General features: G+C 52.2%; 1 protein-coding gene, 1 long non-coding RNA gene and 1 pseudogene across 13 annotated transcripts in view, besides 6 other annotated features; 2 read left to right on the top strand and 1 right to left on the bottom strand.

Moving 5' to 3' along the window:
* Window positions 1,653–2,176: an enhancer, noted in NCBI's record as "H3K27ac-H3K4me1 hESC enhancer chr17:42215327-42215850 (GRCh37/hg19 assembly coordinates)". NCBI's record gives its function as "activates a minimal SCP1, AML or CMV promoter by ChIP-STARR-seq in naive and primed H9 embryonic stem cells {active_cell/tissue: H9 hESC(naive and primed)}" and the evidence as "EXISTENCE:reporter gene assay evidence [ECO:0000049][PMID:30033119]".
* Window positions 4,146–4,252, top strand: RNU6-131P (RNA, U6 small nuclear 131, pseudogene; annotated as a pseudogene).
* Window positions 14,487–14,986: an enhancer, noted in NCBI's record as "H3K4me1 hESC enhancer chr17:42202517-42203016 (GRCh37/hg19 assembly coordinates)". NCBI's record gives its function as "activates a minimal SCP1, AML or CMV promoter by ChIP-STARR-seq in naive H9 embryonic stem cells {active_cell/tissue: H9 hESC(naive)}" and the evidence as "EXISTENCE:reporter gene assay evidence [ECO:0000049][PMID:30033119]".
* Window positions 16,133–16,292: an enhancer, noted in NCBI's record as "active region_12252". NCBI's record gives its function as "activates an Ori minimal core promoter by ATAC-STARR-seq in GM12878 lymphoblastoid cells {active_cell/tissue: GM12878}" and the evidence as "EXISTENCE:reporter gene assay evidence [ECO:0000049][PMID:35858748]".
* Window positions 16,383–16,442: a silencer, noted in NCBI's record as "silent region_8575". NCBI's record gives its function as "represses an Ori minimal core promoter by ATAC-STARR-seq in GM12878 lymphoblastoid cells {active_cell/tissue: GM12878}" and the evidence as "EXISTENCE:reporter gene assay evidence [ECO:0000049][PMID:35858748]".
* Window positions 16,494–26,218, top strand: part of HDAC5 (histone deacetylase 5) — a 46,889-nt gene continuing 37,164 nt past the window's right edge. For 8 of the 12 annotated variants that reach the window (XM_047435054.1, XM_047435052.1, XM_047435050.1 and 5 more), the window contains exons 1-2: window positions 16,494–16,631; window positions 22,431–22,641. In XM_047435054.1, coding sequence (XP_047291010.1) covers window positions 22,620–22,641 — 22 coding nt within the window. In that variant the 5' untranslated portion in view covers window positions 16,494–16,631; window positions 22,431–22,619. Of the gene's footprint in view, window positions 16,882–22,430; window positions 22,642–26,218 lie in introns of all 12 variants that reach the window. The other 4 variants (XM_047435051.1, NM_001382393.1, XM_047435049.1 and 1 more) reach the window with 1 other exon arrangement.
* Window positions 16,513–16,612: a silencer, noted in NCBI's record as "silent region_8574". NCBI's record gives its function as "represses an Ori minimal core promoter by ATAC-STARR-seq in GM12878 lymphoblastoid cells {active_cell/tissue: GM12878}" and the evidence as "EXISTENCE:reporter gene assay evidence [ECO:0000049][PMID:35858748]".
* Window positions 16,663–16,802: a silencer, noted in NCBI's record as "silent region_8573". NCBI's record gives its function as "represses an Ori minimal core promoter by ATAC-STARR-seq in GM12878 lymphoblastoid cells {active_cell/tissue: GM12878}" and the evidence as "EXISTENCE:reporter gene assay evidence [ECO:0000049][PMID:35858748]".
* LOC105371789 (uncharacterized) lies at window positions 19,540–24,223 on the bottom strand. The gene is made up of 3 exons (NR_136415.1): window positions 24,140–24,223; window positions 20,032–20,148; window positions 19,540–19,697 (listed from the first exon to the last, which is right to left on the bottom strand). It is a non-coding gene; the product is annotated as an uncharacterized LOC105371789 (long non-coding RNA).

Below are 26,218 nucleotides of genomic sequence, written 5' to 3'. Positions count from 1 at the left end.
AGCCTGGGCAACAAAGCAAGACTCCGTCTAAAAAAAAAAAAAAAAGAAATTAGCCGGGCATGGTGGCGGGCGCCTGTAATCCCAGCTACTCAGGGGACTGAGGCAGGAGAATGGCTTAAACCTGGGAGGCGGAGGTTGCAGTGAGCTGGGATCATGCCACTGCATTCCAGCCTGGGCAACAAAGTGAGATTCTGTCGCAAAAAAAAAATTAAAAAATAAAGAATAATACATCTTCCAGCCGGGCGCGGTGGCTCACGCCTGTAATCCCAGCACTTTGGGGGACCAAGGCAGGCGGACCACGAGGTCAGGAGATCGAGACCATCCTGGCTAACACAGTGAAACCCTGTCTCTACTAAAAATACAAAAAATTAGCCAGGCGTGGTGGCAGGCGCCTGTAGTCCCAGCTACTTGGGAGGCTGAGGCAGGAGAATCGCTTGAACCCGGGAGGCGGAGCTTGCAGTGAGCCGAGATCGCGCCACCGCACTCCAGCCTGGGAGACAGAGCAAGACTCCGTCTCAAAAAAAAAAAAGAATAATACATCTTCCTCACAAGGTTGTTGTGAGATTAAATGAATTAATGCATTGAAATGGCTAACGCCATGCCTGGCCTATTAACAGGACCTCAACAAATGTGGATTCCCTTCCCCCTTACTTGAATTTGCAAACACGTGCTGGGAATTGTTATGGGAACCACATGGCTTGGGTTTGTATCTATTTCAGTATACTTGCAAATGCATTTCACCCTAATTTGTTTTTTTTGTTGTTGTTTTTTTGGAGACGGAGTCTCACTCTGTCGCCCACGCTGGAGTGCAGTGGTGGGATCCCAGCTCACTGCAACCTCCACCTCCCGGATTCAAGTGATTCTCCTGCCTCAGCCTCCCAAGTAGCTGGGATTACAGGTGTGGGCCACCACACCCAACTAATTTTGTATATTTAGTAGAAACGGGGTTTCACCATTGTTAGCAAGGCTGATCTCAACCTCTCAACCTCAGGTGATCTGCCTGCCTTGGTCTCCTAAAATGCTGGGATTACAGGCATGAGCCACCGCGGCTGGCCCCTAATTTGTATTTTTATCGAACAAACAGTTGTATTCGAGTCAGTGTGATGACATACTTTTTTTTATGTGTTTATCTTTACATTTGCCTTGGTATGGACGGTGGCATATTTGGATAGGAAGTGTGTGTACACGCTGAGAATCTTGTGTAGGTGATTGGGTATTGCCCGTTGAATACGTGTATGGAATTAAATGTGTGTTGTTTGCTGCCTATGGGGGCGGGGAGGACTGATCTGTTTGTGTAGCTTTGTGTGCGAAGGTTGTGGATTCTGAGTTGGTGTGTAGGCAGCTATGTAAACCAGAGCTGTCCGATAGAACTTTCTGTGTTGATGGAAATGTTTTCTATTCACACTGCCCAACAGAGTAGCCACTGACCATGTGTGTCTATTAAGCACTTGAAATGTGGCTACTGCAGCTAAGAAACTGAAGTTTTAATTGTGTTTAATTTTAATTAATTTAAATGTGAATAAACACTAGTACACCACAGACTGAAACTTCAAGGTTATTCACACACTAGATGGTGTGCATGCCCCTGCCTCTTACCACAGAAATCCCATCCCTCGTGTCCGACCCCAGTGGAGCCCCACCTGGGCGTGTGCGTACATGTGTATGTGCGCATGTGTGTGGGTGTGAGCCGTACCTAGGGGGCCGCCCCCCTACCCAAGTACCCAGCCGAGCAGTGAATCAGCCTGACAATGAGGTGAGTCATTCATGAACTGCTCCAGGCTGGCCCAGCGGGCGGGAAGCAAACGTCAGCCAGCCTGGAAGCCCTACCCACCCCAGCCCCACCAGTGGGATCGCTCAACCCCACGCACTGCAGATGTTGTTGAAGCAACTGACGCGGGCGAATCAAGGCACGGAAGCTCGGCCCCTCCCTCTAGTTTGCAATCCATTCATCCCTCAGCTTCTCTCTCCCCTCCAGTGGCATGTGAGTCATCTCAAGATCTCCCTGAGGACAGAGACATTCAGCTCCTCTATCCTTTACACCCCTGATCCGACACCCACCTCCCCAAGCCTATCCCAATTGCTTCTCCCTCAAGGCTGGGGGCTGGGGGAAGGGAAGCTGGACCCCCTGGGGAGGTGCCAGGGTCCTGCTTCATAAGCAAAGCTGACCCACTCAGGGCTGTGGGAGTTGGCTCAGGGTCAGTTGCAGCTGGCTGGATCCTGCGGAACTGGCACCTTGCTTGCTTGGGCAGCAGGAAAGGAGTTGCCCAGGGATGCTATGTGGAGCACTTGTGGCTTCCGGGGAGGACCAGGTAGGCAGGGGGCAAAAGTATTCCTCTGGTTTCCAGGAAAGACCCTCATAGTATCTCCCCAGTGGCTGACAATCTTCAGAGCCTGGTAACTTCTCTCCTCTGCATACCCCCTGGTAGAGAATGGGTTGTGTGGCCCATTCTTTCATTAATTAGCCTTATTCTCTTGGACTTAACATTACCTGATGCTTCTGACTTGGACAACTGGGTAGTGGTGTCCTTCACTGGATCAGAAAATACCCTCAAAAGCCTTGAAGTTATGTACACCCTTTGACAAAGCAGCTCCACTTCTGAGAACTCATCCTGAGAAAATAATACAGTCATTGACGCATGCCAAGATTTACCTATAAGAATGTGCATCACATGGGCCGGGCGCGGTGGCTCACGCCTGTAATCTCAGCACTTTGGGAGTTTAAGACCAGCCTGGCCAACATGGTGAAACCCCATCTCTACTAAAAATACAAAAATTAGCCAGGCGTGGTGGTGCACACCTGTAATCCCAGCTACTTGGGAGGCTGAGGCAGGAGAATTGCTTGAACCCAGGAGGCAGAGGTTGCAGTGAGCCAAGATGGAGTCACTGCACTCCAGCCTGGGCAACAGAGCAAGACACCATCCAAAAAAAAAAGAAAGAGAATGTGCATCACAATTTGCTTGCCCGCCCTTCCTTCCTTCCTTCCTTCCTTCCTTCCTTCCTTCCTTCCTTCCTTCCTTCCTTCCTTCCTTCCTTTTCTTTCTTTCTTTCCAGAGTTTCGCTCTTGTTGCCCAGGCTGGAGTGCAATGGCTTGATATCAGCTCACCACAACCTCCGCCTCCTGGATTCAAGCAATTCTCCTGCCTCAGCCTCCCGAGTAACTGGGATTACAGGTGTGTGCCACCACGCCTGGCTAATTTTTTTTTTTTTTTTTTTTTTTTTTTTGGAGAGACCGGGGTTTCTCTCCATGTTGGTCAGGCTGGTCTCAAACTCCTGACCTCAGGAGATCTGCCTGCCTCGGCCTCCCGAAGTGCTGGGATTACAGGTGTGAGCCACTGCACCTAGCCCACAGCATTATTTAAAATGGAAAAATTGGGCCGGGCACGGTGGCTCACGCCTGTAATCCTAGCACTTTGGGAGGCCGAGGCAGGCGGATCACAAGGTCAGGAGATCGAGACCATCCTGGCTAACACAGTGAAACCCCGTCTCTACTAAAAATATAAAAAATTAGCCGGGCGTGGTAGTGGGCGCCTGTAGTCCCAGCTACTCCAGAGGCTGAGGCAGGAGAATGACGTGAACCCGGGAGTCGGAGCTTGCGGTGAGCCGAGATCACGCCACTGCACTCCAGCCTGGGAGACAGAGCAAGACTCCATCTCAAAAAAAAAAAAAAAAAAAAAAAATTGGAAACAACTGACGCATCCGTCAAAAGAGCATCAAGTAAAGAAACTACGGCTGGGCGTGGTGGTGCACGCCTGTAATCACAGCACTTTGGGAGGCCAAGGCGGGTGGATCATGAGGTCAGGAGATCGAGACCATCCTGGCTAACACAGTGAAACCCCGTCTCTACTAAAAATACAAAAAATTACCCGGGCGTGGTGGCGGGCGCCTGTAGTCCCAGCTACTTGGGAGGCTGGGGCGGGAGAATGGCGTGAACCCGGGAGGCAGAGCTTGCAGTGAGCCGAGATCACGCCACTGCACTCCAGCCTGGGTGACAGAGCGAGACTCCGTCTCAAAAAAAAAAAAAAAAAGTAAAGAAACTACAATAAAACAATACAATGGAATACCATGCAGCCACATAAAATGATGTTGTGGAAGATTTAATGCCATGGGAGTATTTTCATGATATATTACATCAAAAATCAGACTGTGTGCTTGCTTCGGCAGCACGTATACTAAAATAGGACCCATATACAGAAGAATGCCATAGACCCTGCACAAGAATGACACGAAAATTTGTGACGTGTTCTGTATTTTTCCATTTTAAAAAGTTTGTAAAAACAGCCGGGTACGGTGGCTCATGCTTGTAATCCCAGCACTCTGGGAGGCCAAGGCAGGTGGATCCCTTGAGGTTAGGAGTTCGAGACCAGCCTGGCCAACATGGTGAAACCCCATCTCCACTAAATATATAAAAATTAGCCGGGCATGGTGGTGTACACCTGTAATCCCAGCTATTCAGGAGGCTGAGGCAGGAGAATCACTTAAAAACGGGAGGCAGAGGTTGCAGTGAGCCGAGATTGTGCCATTGCACTCCAGCCTGGGCTGATAGAGCGAGACTCCAGCTCAAAAAAAAAAAAGTGTGTAAAACAAAAAATAAGGAAATTGTAAAAATCAGGTATAACATCAGGCACAATGGCTCACGCCTGTAAACCCAGGACTTTGGGAGGCTGAGGTGGGCAGATCACATGAGGTCAGAGGTTTGAGACCAGCCTGGCCACCATGGTAAAACCTGGTCTCTATTGAAAATACAAAAATTAGCTGTGCGTGGTGGCGCACGCCTGTAATTCCAGCTTCTTGGGAGGCTGAGGCAGGAGAATTGCTTGAACCCTTGAGGCGGAGGTTGCAGTGAGCCAAGATCGTGCCATTGCACTCTAGCCTGGGCAGCAGAGTAAGACTCTGTCGCAAAAAAAAAAAAAAAAAAGTATAAAATGTAGCCAGGCAGGGAAGCATGTGCCTGTAGTTCCAGCTATTCAGGAGGCTGAGGCAGGGAGATCACTTGAGCCCAGAAGGTCAAGGCTACAGTGAGCTGTGATCACACCTCTGCACTCCAGCCTGGGCAACAGGAAACCCTGTCTTAACAACAACAAAACCAATAATAATAATAATAATAATGTCCACCCTGAGGAGTTTTGGGGAGGATTATATCTGCTTCTGTGTCTGCTGGGCAGAAGTGTGTCATCATGGATGGGCCAGAAATCCTGCTGTTGGAGGATGATGAAATGTGCCTTCCATACGCCATCAATGCAGGACTTCCTGCCAGGGTGTTCTGGGTCCTCAGGCTGTCTCTGCCTGTTTGGGGGAGACCCCATGTGGCTATGCACCCAGAGAGTCTGGGTCCTGTCACTTATTGACTGTAAGCTCCCTGAGCCTCCGTCTCCTTACCCATACAATGGAGTACATAATATCTACCTTGCAGAGTTGTTATGACAATGATAATATATGTGACAGTCTTTTGAAAAGAAGTCGTTCAATAAATGATTACAATAAAAGATGTGCAAAATGTACGTTAACCCAAAACTGCAGGCTGGAGGGAAGGCATTTGGGTGAGTTTTGGGGTGCCAGTAGTCCATACCTTTCCACATAGCCTGTAAGTTCACTGTGTATTGTTCACTATCGTTTCATGACCTTATGGCTCAGAAGGTCTTCCAGAATCACAGGGTCCACCTCTCTAATCACAGAAGGGAAACTGAGGCTCAGAGAGGGCAAGTGATTTGCCTAAATTTCCAGGCCCCCTCTCTCCTACTCTGCTCCACCCTGCTTCATGTGGCCATGTTGCTTCCACAGGATGGAAAGCTCCCCGAGGGCAGGTACATGGGCTCCCACTATCCCCTCCCGACATTCTCTGGGCACGCCCTGCCCAGAGAGGACACTCTGGAATGACCTGCAGACATGTGGGACATGATCGACCACCACTGCCACTTGCACTGTTGTGGCCATGTGGCCTTGACTCTTGAGCAGGCAGGCAGGAACTCTGTAGAGTCCAGGAAATCCTGGGCCTCAGCTCCACATCCCAGCAGGGAGGTAGGGGAGAGGATAGGCTTCCTTCTCAGCCATCTCCTTGGACTTCTGCTATTTTTGCTGCTGGGAGGGGTAAGAAGGCTTGTGGGACACTCTAGGAACCTGGAGGGAGCTGGGCTGAGAAGCCTGTCCTGGAGTCCCAACTGTGTGCCAGGCCTCCTGGTCATCTGCTGTCCTCTAGCAGTGGCTGGCTACTGATGGCAGCTCTTGGTGGATATGGGATCTACAGACCAGCAGACTGACAGCTTTGCTCTGCTCTCTCTACATATATAAAAAATCATTTATTTCTTTAGGCGCCATGACAAACGGTGGCAGCTGCACCCAGAATAGTCTTTATTTTTAAACAAATTCACAGCTTGTTCTAGGAGCCATGTTTCTGCTGGCTTTCCTCAGGGTTGGCCATTGCTGAGTGTAGAGACAGTGGCCTGCTCCTGATCTCTAGGCCAGGAAGGCAGGAGGTGGGAGGCCTGAAAAGGGACAGAAGGTGTCAAGGGTTAGGTAGGGCTCTCAGGTGAGGAATGACTGAGGCTCTCGCCTCTAGCCAGGTCCTCCTTTGTTTGTTTGTTTGTTTGTTTGTTTGTTTGTTTTGAGATCCAATTCTAGAGTTAGCTGCCAGAGCTGGAAAAATCCTCAGATGTCATCTATCCAACCATGCCCTTTTACAGACAGGGAAACTGAGGCTCAGATAGGTGGTGACTTAGCCAAGGTCCCTGCCTGTTGCTCTCCCCCTAAACATCTCAAACAGTCAGGCAAGACTGCACAGTGGATGCTGGCCTGAAACTGGTTTCTTCTCCCTCAAGCCCAGAGGAGTCAGGGGAAGGAGGGAAAGGAGAAGAAGTTGTTGTTCCACCCTTCCTTCTCAACTTCACCTTGTTGCACCACCCAGAAAAGTCTCCAGCTGGAAGGAAGGAAATTCAGTCCAACCCTCTAATCATAAAGAAACAGGGGCCCAGAAGCCAGGCGTGGTGGCTCATGCCTATAATCCCAGCACTTTGGGAGGCTGAGGTGGGTGGATCACCTGATGTCAGGAGTTCAAGATCAACCTGGCTGACATGGTGAAACCCCATCTCTACTAAAAATACAAAAACTTAGCCAGGTGTGGTGGCAGGTGCCTGTAATCCCAGCTACTCGGGAGGCTGAGGCAGGAGAATTGCTTAAACCCAGGAGGCAGAGGTTGCAGTGAGCTGAGGTCACACCATTGCACTCCAGCCTGGACAACAAGAGCGAGACTCCATCTCAAAAAAAAAAAAAAGAAAGAAAAGAAAAAGAAAAAGAAACATGGGCCCAGAGAGAAGGGACTTGCCCAGGGTCACACAGGGAGACCTGGGCCAAACCCAGGCATCCTAGGGGCAGTTTTCAGTTTTCATTGCACTCTGCATAAGTCATCCTCAATGACATTGCCTTTACTTTGTGCCTAGGGCACATGGCTTATTTGTCAGGAAATTAACTCTCTTCTGTCTTCAGAGCTCATTGTAAACAGCCCAAGGGCAGGACTGGACCTTGACTATCTTGGAGGAATGAAGGTCCAGCTTAAACTTTGCCACCCAGTTCCATGCTGGACATTGTCATATCTGCCATCATATCTAATTTAGGACTCATGAAGTGTCAGAACTGAAAGGGACCTCAGAGAACAGAAGTTCAAGTCCTATTTTCCAGATAAGACCAAGGCCCTATGGGCAAATGACTCATCCAACAGCACTCCAGCCCAGAGTTGTCTCTATCCCTAAGACCCAGATTTTGTTACCTCCTGTCCTGTTGTTTTTGTTTGTTTTTATTTTTTGCCTTCCCCACAGTACCTAGCATTGTGCTGGCCTCATAACTTTTCTTTCTTTCTTTTTTTATTGAGACAAGGTCTCACTCTGTTGCCAAAGTTGGAGTGCAGTGTCCTGATCTTGGCCCACTGCAACCTCCACCTCTTGGGCTCAAGCAATCCTCCCACCTCAGATTCCCGAGTAGCTGAGACCACAGGCCTGAACCATCACTCCCAGCTAATTTTTGTATTTTATTTATTTATTTATCTATTTTTTTGAGACTGAGTCTCACTCTGTTGCCCAGGCCGGAGTGCAGTGGTGTGATCTTGGCTCACTGCAACCTCTGCCTCCCGGGTTCAAGCGATTCTCCTGCCTCAGCCTCCCAAGTAGCTGGGGTTACAGGTGCCCATCACCACACCCAGCTAATTATTATTATTATTTTTTTTTAGAGACGATGTTTCACCATATTAGCCAGGATGGTCTCGATCTCCTGACCTCGTGATCAGCCTACCTTGGCCTCCCAAAGTGCTGGGACCACAGGCGTGAGCCACCGCACCCGGCCCCACATCCAGCTAATTTTTATATTTTTAGTAGAGATGGGGTTTCACCCTGTTGGCCAGGCTCGTCTTGAACTCCTGACCTCAAGTAATCCACCCACCTCGGCCTCCCACAGTGCTAGGATTACAGGCGTGAGCCACTGCGCCCGGCATAATTTTTGGGTTTTTTTTTTGTGTGTGTGTGTTTTGTTGTTGTTGTTGTTGTTGTTTTGTTTTTTTTTTGACAGAGTTTCGCTCTTGTCACCTAGGCTGGAATGGAATGGCGCGATCTCTACTCACAGCAACCTCTGCCTCCTGGGTTCAAGCGATTCTCCTGCCTCAGCCTCCCGAGTGGCTGGGATTACAGGTGTGCACTGCCATGCCCAGCCAATTTTTGTAATTTTATTAGAGATGGGGTTTCACCACGTTGGACAGGCTGGTCTCGAACTCCTGACCTCAGGTGATCAGCCTGCCTCGGCCTCCCAAAGTGCTGGGATTACAGGTGTGAGCCACCATGCTCAGCCAATTTTTGTATTTTTTAGTAGAGACGAGGTTTCACCATGTTGGCCAGGCTGGTCTCAAACTCCTGGCCTCTAGTGATCACCTCCCTTGGACTCCCAAAGTGCTGGGATTACAGGTGTGAGCCACTGCACTTGGCCTACGACTTTTTTCATGATTCCAGATAGGACTGGCAACTCCCGGATGGCCTAGCAGCATTGCTGAACACATTCATTCCTCTCCTTGCTGCCTTCCAAAGTCCAATCATGCTGCCATCTCTCAGGCTATCGGTTAAATATCTGGCTTTTCTCTGAGATTTATTTCCTTCTACCAAGAGGCCAAATTCACCACTGGTTCCCAGGGTCAGAAGCTCTCCAGCCAGCTTCTAGATCCCATCTGCAGGCTCACTCTACATTGAGAAACTGAGGTGGTGGTGAAGGAGACAGTCTCGTGACCCCTGTTTCCATGGTGAATGGTCCTGGCAAGGATATCTGTCTACCCTAGGAACTCACAACAAAAGACAATTATGTTTTCTGTAAGGAACTTGAGACTCCCTAAAGGCAGAATCATCTCTATATCCTCAGCATCTCTCACAGGTACTCCAGAAACATGACAAATGCATGCTGAATTATTTAGCCCCCACTTACCTGAGAAGACGAAATCTGAAGACTTATCAGGGCCCCATATGGTACATTTTTGTAACTTCTGGGACATTCGGCCACTGGGATATGGACACGATAATCTCAGAGACCTCCAGAGAAGAAGGCTAAAGCTCTGGGGTTGGGAGTCCAGCTTCATCAGCCCCTGTTCCTTGTGTTAGGGAACACAGAAACCTGGGCTTTTTTTTTTTTTTTTTGTGAGATGAGTCTCGCTCTGTCGCCCAAGCTGGAGAGCAGTGGCGTGATCTCGGCTCACTGAAAGCTCTGCCTCCCGGGTTCATGCCATTCTCCTACCTCAGCCTCCCGAGTAGCTAGGACTACAGGCGCCTGCCACCACGCCCGGCTATTTTTTTTGTATTTTTAGTAGAGACGGGGTTTCACCATGTTAGCCAGGATGGTCTCCATCTCCTGACCTCGTGATCTGCCTGCCTCGGCCTCCCAAAGTGCTGGGATTACAGGTGTGAGCCACCGCGCCCAGCCACTGAAACCTGGGTTTGAACCCCAGTTCTTGCTTGTAGAAACTCTGTAACTTTGGACAATTATTTATTTATTTATTTATTTATTTATTTATTTATTATTTTTAGACAGAGTCTCCGTCTGTTGCCCAGGCTGGATGCAGTGGTGTGATCTCAGCTCACTGCAACCTCTGCCTTCCAGGTTCAAGCAATTCTCCTGCCTCAGCCTCCTCAAATAGCTGGGACTACAGGTGTGTGCCACCATGCCCGGCTAATTTTTTTTTTTTTTTTTTTAGTAGAGATGGGGTTTTGCCATGTTGGCCAGGCTGGTCTCTAACTCCTGACCTCAGGTGATCCAGACTTTGGGCAAGCAATTATTAAGCTTCCCTGAGCCTCCGCTTCCTCATCTGTAAAATGGGAAGTGCCAAGCCAATGTGCTCCACGAGGCAGTTATTGACCATCATTTGTCATATTACAGGGGGAGATTCTTTTCCCATGTTCTGAGATCCCAAGAGAGAAGATTCTGGAATCTTCCAGTGTCCCCAAACTTTTAGTGAGCACCTACTATGTGCAAGGTGATATGCTAGGTGCTAGAAAGGCAAAAAGACATATGATTTTATCTCTTTTCTCAAGTGGCTCATAATCCGTTTGGGGAGACAAAGCACAAGCCTTGTGAAAGCAAACTCCCAACCCAACTCATCCTAACTGCCAGAAGATGGCGAAAGACTGTGCAAGTGCAATAACAAATAGGTGATGCCGGCCAGGCGCGGTGGCTCACGCCTGTAATCCCAGCACTTTGGGAAGCTGAGGTGGGTGGATCACCTGAAGTCAGGAGTTCAAGACCAGCCTGGCCAACATGGTGAAACCCAGTCTTTACTAAAAATACAAAAATTAGCTGGGCGTGGTGGTACATGCCTGTAATCCCAGCTATTCTGGTGGTGGAGGCACAAGGATCACTTAAACCTGGTATGTAGAGGTTGCAGTGAGCCGAGATTGCGCCACTGCACTCCAGCCTGGGTGACAGAGCAAGACTGTCTCAAAAAAAAAATAATAATAATAATAAAGAAGTTTGTAATTTAGAGGACAAGATGGACAATGAACCATAATGCCATAAATAGATATATATTTACACATTATTAGCAGGGTTGATGAAAGCATATATAACAAGGGGATCTATTCTAATGAAAGGACCAAGAAAGACCTCTTTCAGTGATATTTAAATGAGCTCTAATGGCCGGGTGCGGTGGCTCATGCCTGTAATATCAGCACTTTGGGAGGCTGAGGCAGGCGGATAACCTGAGGTTGGGAGTTTGAGACCAGCCTGACCAACATGGAAAAACCTCATCTCTACTAAAAACACAAAATTAGCCGGGCATGGTGGCAGATGCCTGTAATCCTAGCTACTTGGGAGGCTGAGGCAGGAGAATTGCTAAACCCGGGAGACGGAGGTGAGCCGCGATCACGGCATTGTACTCCATCCTGGGCAACAAGAGCAAAACCCTGGCTCAAAAAAGAAAAAAAAAAAAAAAAAAGAGCTCTGATGAATGAGCAGGAGTTAGCCAGGCAAAGAGAAGAAGGGAGGGAGGCATTCTAGAAAGATAAAAACGGCCTGTGCAAAGGCCCTGAAGAGCAGAGAGCACATTGTTTGAGAGAAAGTCACATGGCGGGAGTACAGAAAGCTAAGCAAAGAGAGATGACATGGGCAGGGATCAGATTACGTAGAAACTTTGGGTGTTTCTTTTTTTTTTTTTCCCCCAAATATGAGGAAAGGACCAGCTGCAGTAAAATCCCCTGAAGTGGCCAGGAGTGGTGGCTCACTCCTGTAATCCCAGCATTTTGAGAGGCTGAGATGGGCGGATCACTTGAGCCCAGGAGTATAAGACTAGCCTAGGCCGGGCACAGTGGCTCATGCCTGTAATCCCAGCACTTTGGGAGGCCGAGGCGGGTGGATCATGAGGTCAAGAGATCGAGACCATCCTGGCCAACATGGTGAAACCCCGTCTCTACCAAAGAAATACAAAAATTAGCTGGGTGTGGTGGCACGCTCCTGTAGTCCCAGCTACTCGGGAGGCTGAGGCAGGAGAATTGCTTGAACCCGGGAGGCAGAGGTTGCAATGAGCCGAGATCGCACCACTGCACTCCAGCCTGGGGAATAGAGCGAGACAAAAAAAAAAAAAAAAAGGCTGGGTGCGGTGGCTCACGCCTGTAATCCCAGCACTTTGGGAGGCTGAGGTGGGCAGATCATGGGGTCAGGAGATCAAGACCATCCTGGCTAAGATGGTGAAACCCCGTCTCTACTAAAAATACAAAAAAAATTAGCCGGGTGTGGGGGCGGGCGCCTGTAGTCCCAGCTACTCGGGAGACTGAGGCAGGAGAATGGCATGAACCCGGGAGGTGGAGCTTGCAGTGAGCTGCGATTACACCACTGCACTCCAGCCTAAGCGACAGAGCAACTCTGTCTCAAAAAAAAAAAAAAAAAAAAAAAAAAAGACTAGCCTTAGCGGCCGAGCACAGTGGCTCATGCCTGTAATCCCAGCACTTTGGGAGGCTGAGGCAGGTGGATCACGAGGTCAGGAGTTTGAGACCAAACTGAGCAACATGGTGAAACCCTGTCTCTACTGAAAATACAGAAATTAGCCGGGCGTGTTGGCCTGCACCTGTAATCCCAGCTACTCTGGAGGCTGAGGCAGGAGAATCGCTTGAACCCTGGAGGCAGAAGTTGCAGTGAGCCGCGGTCATGCCACTGCACTCCAGCCTGTGTGACAGAATGAGACTGCGTCTCAAAAAAAAAAAAAAAAAAAAAAAAGACTAGCCTGGGCAACACAGGGAAACCCCATCTCTACAAAAAATACAAAAATTAGCTGAGTGTGGTGACATGCACCTATGGTCCCAGCTACTTGGAGGCTGAGGCAGGACGATCGCTGGAGCCTGGGAAATCGAGGCTGCAGTGAGCTGTGATGGCGCCACTGCACTCCAGCCTTGGTGACATGGCGAGACCCTGCAAAAAAAAAAAAAAAATTAGCTGGATGTAGTGGCACGCACCTGTAGTGCTAGCTACTTGGTAGGCTGAGTTGGGAGGATCACTTGAGCCCAGGAGTTCAAGGTTATAGTGAGCTATGACTGTGCCACTGCACTGTAGCCTGGGAGATACAATGACTCTGTCTCAAAATAAATAAATAAGTAAGACAAAGTAAAGACAAACATTCTGGTATTTATTCTTCTAGGCTTTTTTTGTTTCAGTTTTCTTTTTTTTTTTTTTTAGACTGAGTCTCTCTCTGTCACCAGGCTGGAGTGCAGTGGTGTGATCTCAGCTCACTGCAACCTCCACCTCCTGGGTTCAAGCGATTCTCCTGCCTCAGCCTCCCGAGTAGCTGGGACTACAAGGCATGTGCCACCACGCCCAGCTAATTTTTTGTATTTTTAGTACAGATGGGGTTTCACCCTATTAGCCAGGGTGGTCTCGATCTCCTGACCTTGTGATCCGCCCGCCTCGGCCTCCCAAAGTGTTGGGATTACAGGCATGAGCCACCGCGCCCAGTCCTCCTTTTTTTTTTTTTTTTTAGAGATGGGGTCTCCATATGTAGCCCAGGCTGGGCTTGAACTCCTGAGGTCAATGAATCCTCCCTTTTCAGCCTCCCAAGTAGGTAGGACTACAGGTGTGTGCCACCATTCCACCATGTCTGGTTAGGCTTTTTTTTTTTTTGAGACAGGATCTCACTTTGTCACCCAGGCTGGGTGCAGTGGTGTGTTCTTAGTTAGCTCACCTCTCCGGCTCAAGCTATCCTCTCACCTCAGCCCCCCAGCGTGAGCACAGGTCTGGCCCTTGGCCAGGCTTTTTGATATACACATATACTCAGGCATATGAATCTAGTTTGTTGTTTTTATAATAATGGAACAATTCAGTAATACTTGTTTGAGTCCTGATTTTCAAGAAAACAATATATCACGGGCATCTTTTCAGGTCGGTATAGACCTATAAAATTTTTTTTCTTCTTTTTTATTTTTTATTTATTTATTTATTTTTTGAGACGGAGTCTGGCTCTGTCGCCCAGGCTGGAGTGCAGTGGTGCTATCGCAGCTCACTGCAACCTCTGCCTCCCAGGTTCACGCCATTCTCCTGCCTCAGCCTCCCGAGTAGCTGGGACTACAGGGGTCCGCCACCACGCCCGGCTAATTTTTTTTGTATTTTTAGTAGAGACGGGGTTTCACCATGTTAGCCAGGATGGTCTCGATCTCCTGACCTTGTGATCCGCCCACCTCGACCTCCCAAAGTGCTGGGATTACAGGCGTGAGCCACCGCGCCCAGCCTATTTTTATTTTTTTTTTTGAGACGGAATCTCGCTCTGTCACCCGCCCAGGCTGGAGTGCAATAGCCCGATCTCGGCTCGCTGCAACCTCCGCCTCTCGGTTTCAAGTGATTGTTTCGTCTCAGCCTCCTGAGAAGCTGGGATTACAGAAGTGCACCACCACGCCCGCCTAATTTTTGAATTTTTAGTAAAGACGGGGTTTCACCATTTTGGTCAGGCTCGTCTCGAACTCCAGACCTCGTGATCCGCCCGCCTCGGCCTCCCAAAGTGCTGGGATTACAGGCATGAGCCACTGCGCCCGGCTATTTTTTTATTTTTTTTGAGACGGAGTCTCACACTGTTGCCCAGGCTGGAGTGCAGTGGCGTGATCTCGGCTCACTGCAACCTCTGCCTCCAGGGTTCACGCCATTCTCCTGCCTCAGCCTCCCGAGTAGCTGGGACTACAGGCGCCCGCCACTACACCCGGCTAATTTTTTTTTGTATTTTTAGTAGAGAGGGTTTCGCCGTGTTAGCCTGGATGGTCTCGATCTCCTGACCTTGTGATCAGCCCGCCTCGCCCTCCCAAAGTGCTGGGATTACAGGCGTGAGCCACCGCGCCTGGCCTCTTCTTCTTCTTTTGTTTTTGTTTTTTGTTTTTTTGAGACGGAGTCTCGCTTTGTTCCCCAAGCTGGAGTGCAGTGGCGCGATCTCTGCTCACTGCAACCTCCGCCTCCCGGGTTCACTCCATTCTCCTGCCTCAGCCTCCCAAGTAGCTGGGACTACAGGCGCCCACCACCACGCCCGGCTAATTTTTTGTATTTTTAGTAGAGACGGGTTTCACTGTGTTAGCCAGGGTGGTCTCGACATCCTGACCTCGTGATCCACCAGCCTCGACCTCCCAAAGTGCTGGGATTACGGGCGTGAGCCACCATGCCCGGCCCACGCCCGGCCTCTTTTTTAAAATACAGACAGTGTCTCGCCATGTTACCCAGGCTGGTCTTGAACTGGGCTCAAGCAATCCTCCCGCCTCGGCCTCCAAAGTGCTAGGATTGATGACAGGCAAGAGCCAATGCACCTGGCCCCTTTAAAACTTTTTTTTTTGAGGCAGAGTTTCACTCTTGTTGCCCAGGCTGGAGTGCAATGGCACGATCTTGGCTCACTGCAACCTCCGCCTCTCAGGTTCAAGGGATTCTACTGCCTCAGCCTCCTGAGTAGGTGGGATTACAGGCGCCTGCCACCACGCCCGGCTAATTTTTTTGTATTTTTAGTAGAGACGGGGTTTTACCATAATGGCCAGGCTGGTCTCAAACTCTTGACCTCAGGTTATCCGCCTGCCTCCGCCTCCCAAAGTGCGGGGATTACAGGCGTGAGCCACCATGCCCGGTCCCCTATAAAACTTTTAATGTCTGGATAATATTTTACTGAATGAATGTCTCCTGCTTTGCTTGCCAATTCCCTATCGATGGATATTTAGGTTGTTTTCAACTTTTCACATCATTACAAACAATCTCATGTTCATTTTTTAACATAACAACGTTTATTTATTTGGAATACATTTTTGTTAGTGGAATTGCTGGGTCATTGACAAATTGTCTAGGTCTAATTAAACATGTTCATACTGTGTACCAAGAGGAGATGTAGCGTGGATGGCACCAAAGTCAGGGAAGTCTTTCCGGCTCCTGGTCTGCTGGTCTGCCCTTTTGAAGGCCTTGGAGTGTTACAGCCATACCCTGGCCTTTCCCAGGCTTTTCTTTCCCTGGCACGGATGCAGTGTGTGCGGTCAGAGCTGGCGAGTTCGAGACTTGTCCGAACCATCCACCCGCAGCCAGGCCCCGCTGCAGAGGCTGCGGTGGCCCTCCCAGCCCCTGGGAATCTATCCCCAGGTCCCCTCCCCGACCGCGGGAGGGCGTGTTAGGGGAGCAGCTTAGGCAAGCGACGATTGCACCATCCACGTTTTGAAAAGAAAGTCCGGGGAGCGCAAGGAGGAAACTTTTACAATCCAAAGGTTGAGCCCCAGCATCCATACTCGGCCCCTGCAGCGATCCTTCCACTCCTGCTCGCTGGGTTCCGATCCCTTCCCTTCCACCCCGTCTCGGCCGAACCCTGTGCTGGGCACTGGCCCTTTAAGGAGCTGTCACGATGGCGTCGCTGGCCCCGCCCGGCGGGGAGGGCCGAGAGGCAGGGGAGGGGTTGGTGGTGGCTGCGGGCAAGGGGAAGGCGGGGGGGGCTGGGGGGGGGGTCTGGGTCTATTTTTAGCTCCGGGTCGGGTCACGTGACGGGAGTGACGTCTCCGAATGTTGTTGTTGGTGGCGGCGGCGAGCGGAGCCGGAGGAGCCGCCGCAAAGATGGAGGAGCCGTCGAGGAGGTGCTGCCGCCGCTGCCGCCGCCGCTGCTGCCGCCGCCGCCCGCGAAGCCGGAGCTCGAGCCGCAGCGGGTGAGCGCGCCGCCCCGGCCCAGATCCCATCTTCCCCGGACCCCGGGACGCGAGGCGGCGCCCCCTCCTCCTGCTGTCTCTGTCCGCGGGCTCCCAGCGCGCGCGCCGCGCTCCGCGCCCCCCTTCCTTCCTCCCGGCCCTGGGAGCCAGCCGGCGCCCCCCGGGAGCATCGGCAGCCCGTGAGCGGGACATCGGGGTTGCTGCGCGCGCCCCTCCCTGCCCCTCCCAGACAGGGGCGCCTTCCCTACAGGTAAGGGAGGGGCCCGCCTTCTCGCGCCCTGCGCCCCCAAATGGCTCGGAGACCGGCCGGGGTTGTCTGATTTGCCCCTTCCCTGGCGGCGCATGTTGCGTTGCAGAGCCATTTGAGCCCTGCACCCGGATTCTGTGCAGACCCCTCTTCGCTGGACACCCCTTTCTTGGTACTCTGAGGTGAGGGGTGCTGTCCACCCAGAGCGCTTCTCCCCATAGCTACGAACGCATCCTTGATTTTATGTCCTTGACTTCCGTGCATGAGGAGGGGGACTGCGGAGTCCACCTTACTTCTCTCTCCCATTATTCTCACCCCGTCTCCTGTGAGGCGTTACTGCGTTTGTTGCCACCCTCTTCTCCTGTCTGACACCTTGGAGCCAGGATGCGAGAGCTAGGAGATGAAATGGAGCTCCCCCCCAACCCCTTCTTGTCTTGGGTGGATGCCCCCCATTTTTCATCCTGGATCTGTATCTCATGGAAGCGGGGGCACTACCAGTGCCTTATTAACTTGGGGGGAGTCAGCTTCTCCACCCCACCCTTCCCTGGGGCCCTGGGGAAGATGAGAACTGGCTGGGTGTAAGTAATTAATCTGGGAGCTTGGTGGGGGCTGTTGAAGTGGGGAGGTTGGGTGCTTCCTTTGGGAGAGGAGATGACCACTTGATACCCCTGGCTGATACCCCTTCTGAAATGAGGTGTGTCCCTAAAGAGGAAAGGTAACAGCTGCAGTTGCTTTTAGGAGGGTGCAAAAGGGACCCATCACTCAGTCAGTGACCACCATGCTTTTGGGATCTGGGATTAGATTTGGAGCTTGGGGAGGTGGTGGTGATTGGTTTCAGTGTCCAACTGGGAGGGGAGGATGGAGCCAGATTATGGGAACAAAAGGAGGTGGGGGGGAGGGTGAGATCCAGGAGTCTTGGTCAGAGGGACCCCTAGCCAGATTGCCTTGCAGGATTGCAGTCTGGGTCTGGGTCCTGCCTTTGGCTTCCTCTTAGTTTCAGAGGATGTAGGCAGGCAGGCATGGTCTTCAGTCTCCCCAGTCCTAGGCACCCTGAGCCTATGCTGGCTGTTGAGATGCTGGGCTGGGCTGGGCTGGGCTAGGCTGGCTGGGCTGGATGGTGGATGAGCCATGTTGGGGGCTGCCTGCTTCTTCATTCCAGTCTTCCCTCCTTCCTCTCCCTCCCTAAACACAAAGCTTGGGGAGATCTTGGTTTGTCTCCTTCCTCTTTTCTTGACTCCTCTCTTTGCCCTCTCTTCACTTGAACTTGGATCTGGGCTTTCTTGACAAAGCAGTAGGGGTCTCTCTGAGTTAGAGAAATGGGCCCCCAGTATCTCCACTCTGTCCTGGGAATGTGGGCATGCCAGAGACCAGAGAGACAGATCTCAAGTGTGGGTTACTTGGGGGCAAGGATGGAGGAAATGTTAGTTCTGTGCCAGCCTCCCCTTCTTTTCCAATATATCCTCCTACTTTGGCTGGATCATGTAATTTGGAGGGGGGCAGCAGTTTCACATGCCCCACCCACCCCAAGTAGCTGCAGAGACAAAGGTTTGCTTTGCCTTCCGTAGGGGTGGCATCTTAATTGTGTGTTTAGAAATGGGGCCTGGGAATGTTGGGCGGGGGTCATTTGTGTTCCCGCATAGTGGGGGAGGGGGCATCAGCTATAGGAGCTGGGGGTAGTGCAGTCGGTGCTGAAGTACCAGCTGCTCTTTAATAATTAATTCTTCCTACTCACATCCCTTTGAGGAGGGATGTCTGGAACACAGCATTAGGCTCAGCCAGCCTGCTAGAGGACGCACTCCTGTTGGTGGCAGTAGGGGGGGGAAGGGGGAGACAGCAAGGGGGGGTGGTTCTTGGCATTTTTGGAGCACTGTAGCTTGCTCATGAATGAAAACCTGATGTAGCCCGTGAGGGGGCCTATTGTAGCCGACTTTAGCTAATTAAACTTTCTCTGCCTTTCTTCTTCCCTATCCCACCTCACCCCAGGCCCAGCCGCAGCCCTTTCTTGAATGGGGACCCTGCCTGGTAGTGCTGGGAAGAGGGTATCATTCTGCCTGAGGTTTTAGGGCAAACAGACCCCGTCTTCTGCCCTCTGCCTCCGCCTCCTCCCTTCCTCCCCTCTCACCACCCCCCTCTCTTTTTTTTTTTTTTTTTTTTTCTAGAAATAGCAGCCTCCTCCATCTGGCTTGTGCAGATGCCTGGAGCTGCGTCTGAGCAGACAAACAGAAATGGGCCGATTGCAAAAATGAATTTGTCAGCCTGGTGCCTTTTTTCCTTCCCTGTCACCCTCCCCCTTTCCCTGGTTTGGGGCCTGGACATCCAAGTCAGCCACCCTTCATGGCTCTGATCCTTCTGGGCTTCTGTTGGCCTAGCTTGGGGGAGGCACTAGGCAACAGAAGCTCTCAGAGGCTGAGGAAAGTGGTAGGCTGTGGCCATGGTCAGGAGGGGTCAAGATAAATTCCTAGTGCCTTTGACCTTTGGGTGGGATGTCTTGGCTTGTAACTTTTTTTTTTTTTTTGAGATGGAGATTCACTCTTATTGCCCAGGCGGGAGTGCGATGACACAATCTTGGCTCACCGCACCTCTGTCTCCAGGGTTCGAGTGATTCTCCTGCCTCAGCCTCCCGAGTAGCTGTGATTACAGGCATGCGCCACCACACCTGGCCAATTTTGTATTTTTTTAGTAGAGAAAGGGTTTCTCCATGTTGATCAGGCTGGTCTGGAACTCCTGACCTCAGGTGATCCGCCTGCCTTGGCCTCGCAAAGTCCTGGGATTACAGGCGTGAGCCGCCGCGCCTGGCCGGTTTGTAATTTTTGATGAAACTGTCGGGGTAGAGTGAAACAATCTCAGACTCCCAAGACTTGATTCACACTGCTTGACCCTGTCACCTATGACCTAGGGGGTACCCTGGCCTGGGGCCAGAGCAGGTGTGTTGGGAGGGGGTTGCATGGTGGTACTGGACTCCAGGATCCAGAGAGGGTCTTCAAGGGACACCTGACTCCCCAGGAATTTTGAGGGAGTTGTTTGAGGAACAAGATCTCTACAGGGTAACATTGTGAACCTATGGCCTTTGGAGCATTGCTTTGTACCATGTGCCCCTCACTTGTCTGCCCTCCTCCACCCACCCTTTGCCAGAGTTTGGGGTTTCCACCCTACTTCCATAGGCTCAGCCCTGAGCTTGTAGGGTGAGATGTAGCCTGTTTCCTTCATCCTTGTCCGGCTGTCTTGGCTGGATGTGGGAGGTGGTTTTGGATCCCGGAGTGGGGTAGGGGTCTGTCTGGAAGAAAGAGTTGGTGTGAGGTAGTGGGGTGGGCAGGGGTCTGTCTGCTTATGATGTCCTGGAAGTTGGGCCACTCCCTGGTTTGGCATCCAAGTGTTAGGTCATCTGGGACACAGCTCCTGGTGTCCCTGACTTCCCACTGAGACCCAACAGATTTCTCTGGCAGATGTGGGAACAAACAGCTCAGGTTTTAAACATCAGGCTCCCCTTCTCCCCTTCATGTCCCACCCCAGACAGGAATCTGTGCTTGTCCCGATCAGACCATGAACACTGCTTTGTTTCTCAGGGAGGCTCAGCCTGTGGCTCTGGTTCACTTGGGAGACTTGATGGGGGTGTTGGCAGACACTCTTTACAGGTGGACAGGGCCCAGGGGCCCAGGGATCCTGCTGAATTTTATAGGACGGGGAGGAGTAGACGTAGATGAGTCCCGAGCCCACCATGAGTTCAAGGAGCTGCTCCCTTCCTCTTCTGCCTCAGGGGTGAGGATCAGCATCTTTAAGACCCACAGAGAGAGTAGGTGGGTTAGGATGATGGGGGCTAGGGGCTAACCTTAACCTGGTTTCTGTGCCACTGGGGCTGTGCCCCTTCTGAGCACCTTGCTGTGGAGGTGCCTCTCACTGTGGAGATGGACTGGGCTACTCAGGCTGCTGGGAATCGTGGGCATTTCTGAACCTGTGTTCCCCAGCCCACGGGAAAGGGTGTGAGCAGGACTGGGTGCCAGCCTTGGTGTGGGCACAGGCTGAACTGCCTGCCCACGTGGGCCCTGCCAGAGCACCAGCAGCCCTACCTGCCACATTCCTGAGCTTGGCCTCAGCCCTGCCTGCGCAGCCTTTTTTGTCTTAATCCCATACCTGTGCCCGTCAGGAGCAATTTAGCCCCTTCAACTCTGCCCCCCAATCTGAGTGCACCTTTCTCCAGCCATAGAGTCCAAGCCCTGTGGTCCCAGCAGCAAGCCTGGGACCTCAGGGTCTCGTGTGTGCATGTGTGCGTGCATGCGCATGTGTGTTCATGTTCTTGTGTTTCTGCCATAGCTGGCTTCTGGGCTTCTGGGCTCCAAATGGACCCCACCCTTGGGAATCTGATGAGAATGTAAGGCTTACTGAGAATTAATCCTGCCAGGAGGTGGGGCTGTCTAGGGGGGCAGAGCTGATTGCTGGTTCGAGGCTTGGGGAGCAGAGTTAGGGCTTAAACTCGCAGCAGCTCACAGCCTCCTCTGATGGCTTCCTGCTACCTTGCTTTCATTGGGTATTGGAGGGCCTGCCTTCATTTGGAAGCAAATGAATGAGATCATGTCTGGGGTGGATCGTGGGCCGTTTAGGGATGGGCCAGGTGTCTGTATGCATAGTGTCTGAGGCTTGAGGACTAACTGTGGGGGAGAACTGGAGGAGTGGGCATGGGTTGGCAAAGCCGTGGTCCTGTAATACCTCCTCCTTTACTATACTGGCCTCAGCAGGGCTACTGCTGGGCCTTTTGTTGCTTTCGTACAAACTGGGAAAAAATCGTCCCTTGTTTTGGGTGGACTCAGCATGTCAGGCCATGGCTTGGCAGGCAGGGCACAGGCTGGATTTCGTATCTCCCTGGGCCAGACCTCCTTACACAGAGCACAACCTGTACAATATACACAAAGTGCTGGGCTTGGGCCCTGCACCTGCCAGGCCAAGGGTACTAGATTTGGGATGGAGAGGTCTCTGACTTTCTCAATTCCTGGAAAGAGAAGCTCTTGTCCTGGTCTGTTGTTGAACTGTGGGAGACCAAAACAGAAGCACATCCATATTTCCAGAGCTGGGTGGCACAAGGATCAGAAAGTCGGGAGAAGACCCCTAGAAGTCCCAGCTTAGGCTATGGAGGCTGGGATACCAGTTTCTCCCTTCACTTCTGCCAGGGACTCTAGATCAGCCCTGCATCTCCCCACTGCTATGGATACAGATCAGAAGCCCCCCTGCACTTTCTCCTTTGGTGCACACCTAGTCCCATGGCAGGCACTGTTGGGAGTCTATAGGGTCTCCCCAGCTGGCAGTAGACACTCACCTGAAAAGGGGTCTGTTGGGTTTGGCCACCATAGCCATTTCCTATCCCTTGGGCTCTGGGAGCCTCATCAGTTAGTAAGATAAGAAACCAGGGTCTATCCAGTTCTGCAGATTTCTCCTGTGGCTGTGGGCAGGTATCCCTCCCTCTCATCCCTCATCCCCAGGTACAAACTGATGAGCTCCAAGGTCTCCTTCGACTCTCAGATTCCTGAGTTAGGGGCCTCTAACCCTGCTCCATCTCTCCCCAGGGATGCCGTTCTGAGTGCCTGACTGCCTCGCCCCGAAGGATGGCCTCGGATGGGCATTAGAGGCACGGCGGCCCCGGGCTCCCGTCCCGTCCGTCTGTCTGTTATCGTCTGTCTCTCTTGACATCACCGCAGCTCCACCCCCTCCCGTCCCAGCCCCCAACGCCAGCTTCCTGCAGGCCCAGAGCCGGCATGAACTCTCCCAACGAGTCGGGTAAGAGCTGGGAGGTTGGAGAAGAGCACCCTGGGGTAGCTTCGGATGCAATGGGCTGTGTGGGTTTCCCTTCCAGGCCAGCTGACCTTTACTGTCTGAGCTATAAGGGAATGAGGGGGTAAGGAGTGGAGAAGTGTTGCAAGAAAGGGCCCATGAGGTAGACCTGGGAATCGAGGGATCGATGGTCCGGTCTGGTCCTGGGAAGGCAATGGGTCCTACTCTGCCCCCCATGCTTGCCCTCTCAACTTAGGGGTGTTCAGCTCCAGCTTCGCCTTCCCCTGCTAGCCAAGACAGGTGGGCCTGAGGGGGCAGTGTGTATCCCTTAATCTCTCTGGGCAGTCTGGGATGATGTTGGAGGAATTTCTTTACTATAGCAGAATGCTCAGCTTCCTTTTCGTGATGGTGGCTTCTTTACTTAGTGGAATGTTTGTGTTCCATACTTTTTTCTTAGTGGAGGTTTACAAGGGCACTGGGCCTTAACCTCCGTGTGCAGGTGCGTGGCATTGGGTGGGAGTGGGGTGACGTGTGTAGAGGAGTCTCGGCTCTCCTCTGAGTCCAGGTAGACTGCCTCTCTTCCTCTTGGGCCCTTCATATGGTAGATTGCTAATCTGGGGTCTTTTACTCTGAGATTTCCTGTTCCTCTTTGTTCCTAGGACCCTGTCCAGTGCTGCCAGAAATAGTCTATTTGGGGGACTCTAGGCAGCTTGATGTGCAGCTGGGTCTGGATGTATGCCTGTGAGGCTGTGTTCTAGTGGCCTGAGCTGGACCCTCAGCAGTTTCCCAGGAGGGTCCTGGGGCAGTGTGGTCAGAGTAGTGGCTGTCGTCTCCTCCTCCTCGGGTGTCTCCTTCCACACAGTGTTAAAGGTCCATCTTGCTCAACTTTAGCTCTCCACGGCCCATCGTACTCCTCATCTTTTTTATGTAGGGGTAGGTGGATATTTCTCCTTTTAGAGATAGGGCAATTGGGGCCTAGGATGAATACCCATTTGCAGGATTGTACAGAAGCAGCATCAGGGAGGAATCCAGACCACCCCACATTTTCTTCCCCATCATCCTTTCTGTAGGGTTTGCTGTTCTCCTTCAGATATTCCTCCCTCTGCCCTTGCCCTCATTCAGCCCCTAGGGGCTGGGACAGGTGGGCTGCCCAGCTCTGCCCTCTTGCTTGCCCCTCTGAGGCTGGATGGCGAAGGGAAAGGAGAGGCCTGGGTCCTCATCTGTCCCTCGTGCATCTTGGCTGGACACTACCCCAGCAAGCTCAGCCATGTCGGGCAGTAGTGCCAGCTACTTCTTTCCTCTGAGTTGTGACGCTGACCTGTCCAGGAGCCATCTGCAGTCCCTGCTTCCCATGGGGCTGGGGTCTAACTCTTGGCCAAGGGAATTGAAGCTGCCTAGCGGCATCTGTTGGTGGCTTGGAAAGGATTTTTCCCAGCTTTGGGGTTTCTTTCCCTTGCAGGGAAATGTGATAATCAACCCAGGATAGATGAAGTTATTGGGTTACCTTTCCAGATGCTGGCGGTCCAAGTTTCCCTTGCAGCTACCTCTGTGGGAGCTGACAAGAGTGTTGGAGGAGCTGGACGTGTCCACCAACGCAGGAGGCTGGCAGCTTGAGAGCCACTGCTGAGCCCTGGCCAGGAGGGGCGTCCTGAGTGGGCCTGTGGAATGGGCCCCGCGTCCTGCCTGGCTTTCCAGCTCCCCCCAGCAGGGGGAGATGCTGTCTTCTCTGTGTTGGGGAAAGAAGGAAAAAAGGAGGGGGCCAGGGATTGGGAACCTCATTTTAGGATTGTTGAGAGGCTTTGGAACTGGGGCCACTGCTTGGGGATGTTTGCTTGAGGCCCTTCCTGCAGAGTGTTCCTGGGGTTCTGGACTGGCTTTCCCAGTTGTGGGGTTCCAGCTGCCCTGGGCCAGGGAGATAGTCAGCCTCCCCCCAGCTCTTCCTTTCTGAGGGGCCTAGCGTCTGCTATTCCCAGAGCTTGGGCTGGCATCTGGGCTAGGGCTGGGGTGCCCAGCGCCTGGCAGAAGCCTGGAAACCACATGCCTTGGAACTCGGCGGAAGTAAAGTGAGACCACCGATTGAAGCCAGAGCACGCGGGTGTCCACTTCCCTGTAGAGAGCCCCAAGAAGGAAAGGTATGGGCCATGGGGCAGGAGATAAGAGGTGGGAAGGAAGGAAATGGTTAGTCCCCAGGGTCTGCTGCAGCCCCTGAGCGCCTCCCACCTTTTCCTCACTTCCCTGAACACTTGCTCCTCTTTCCCCAGAGTAAAGGACAGTAGGCTTTGTAAGGGGCAGAGCTTCTGGTTCCCCTCAAGTCCTCTCAGCGTAGGAGCTTTTCAGTTTGGCAAGTCCTCACTGAGTATCACCAACAGGCTCAGCCTGTGGAAGACAGAAGAAAATATGAGATGGGCCATCCCTGGTCCTCACAGTGAACATGTTAGCAAGAGAGACTGTTTTGGTGAGGGGCAGCAGGTGGAGACTGTGAGTGATTTCCTTCTGGGGCCCACTGCCCAGGAAGGTGGGAGCTGATGACTTCCCTCTGGCTCGGGCTGCCTACCAGCCTTTGACTTTATTTACCTCTTTTGCAGTCTTGGAATCACAGGCGGAGGCTATTGATGGGGTTGCCTGCTTCCCTGAGACCATTCCCTGATCTCTGCCTTTTCTTCCGGCAAAAGGGGGTTTGAGGATTAAGGCTGTCTTTATTTTTCTGGAACTGTTTGCTTCTGCATGTTCTCCTCAGTGGGGCTGAAAGGCTGACAGAACTTTCCCTCAGCTCAGACTCGGCCCAACCAGGTTGGAGGAGCTGCCCAGGGGCCTGGGACCCAGGCCAGCTCTGGTTGTACCCTCTTTGTGCCATTGCCCAGAAGAGCAGGCAAGAGTGAGGCCCACTGTGCAAGCCAGTCTGGGTGGCAGCGGGGCCATGGAGGAGGCGGCCAGGATCCTTCTCCCCAGTGTGGGAGGGAGACAAGCTTCATGACAACACCTGCCTGCCCAGCGCCTCCCAGAACCTTCACACTTTCTCTCTTTCCCTTTTCCAGGATGGAGGGCAGCAGCCCCCCCCCCCCACGCCTGCTCTCTGGGTGACCAGAGAAACTGGGGCATGGGTGTGGGGTGGAGCCAGGAACCTCGGTGTCCTGCCTTCCAGCCTTGGGCTCTGCCTCCTTCAGAGCCCCCAGGGAAGGCAGGCAGTGAGAAAGTGGGTCAATCCTGGCATGGGGCTGGGGTCTGAGAAGTAGACTCCTGGCCTCCCTTCTCTACTGAGATGCCCCCTGGCACACCTCTGTGCTCACTGCAGAGCGGGACCTGCTTCTCCCCTCCTCTTCCCTGCTCTATCATTCCAAAGAGATTGAAGGCTTAGAATGGAATGGCCAGAGAAGGCAGGGTCAACCCTGAGGGGAAGTAGAAGATGCCAAAGTAGGTGTTCACATTTTTCCTGGACTTGGCTTCAAATGAGAGGGTTCAGCCAACACCTAGCATGGGGCCTGGCTGGCACATGGCAGCTCCCAGGCCATGCTGATGGGCTCCAGCATGACTGGGCTCGAAGGGCAGGAAAGAACAGGAGGGTGGGCAGGTCTGATATCTGGGT

The sequence above is a fragment of the Homo sapiens genome, chromosome 17 (assembly GCF_000001405.40).
Source record: "Homo sapiens chromosome 17, GRCh38.p14 Primary Assembly".
NCBI classification, from domain to species: Eukaryota; Metazoa; Chordata; class Mammalia; order Primates; family Hominidae; genus Homo; species Homo sapiens.
Note: the sequence above shows the minus strand (reverse complement) of the source record. Positions and strands in the feature narration are given on the sequence as shown.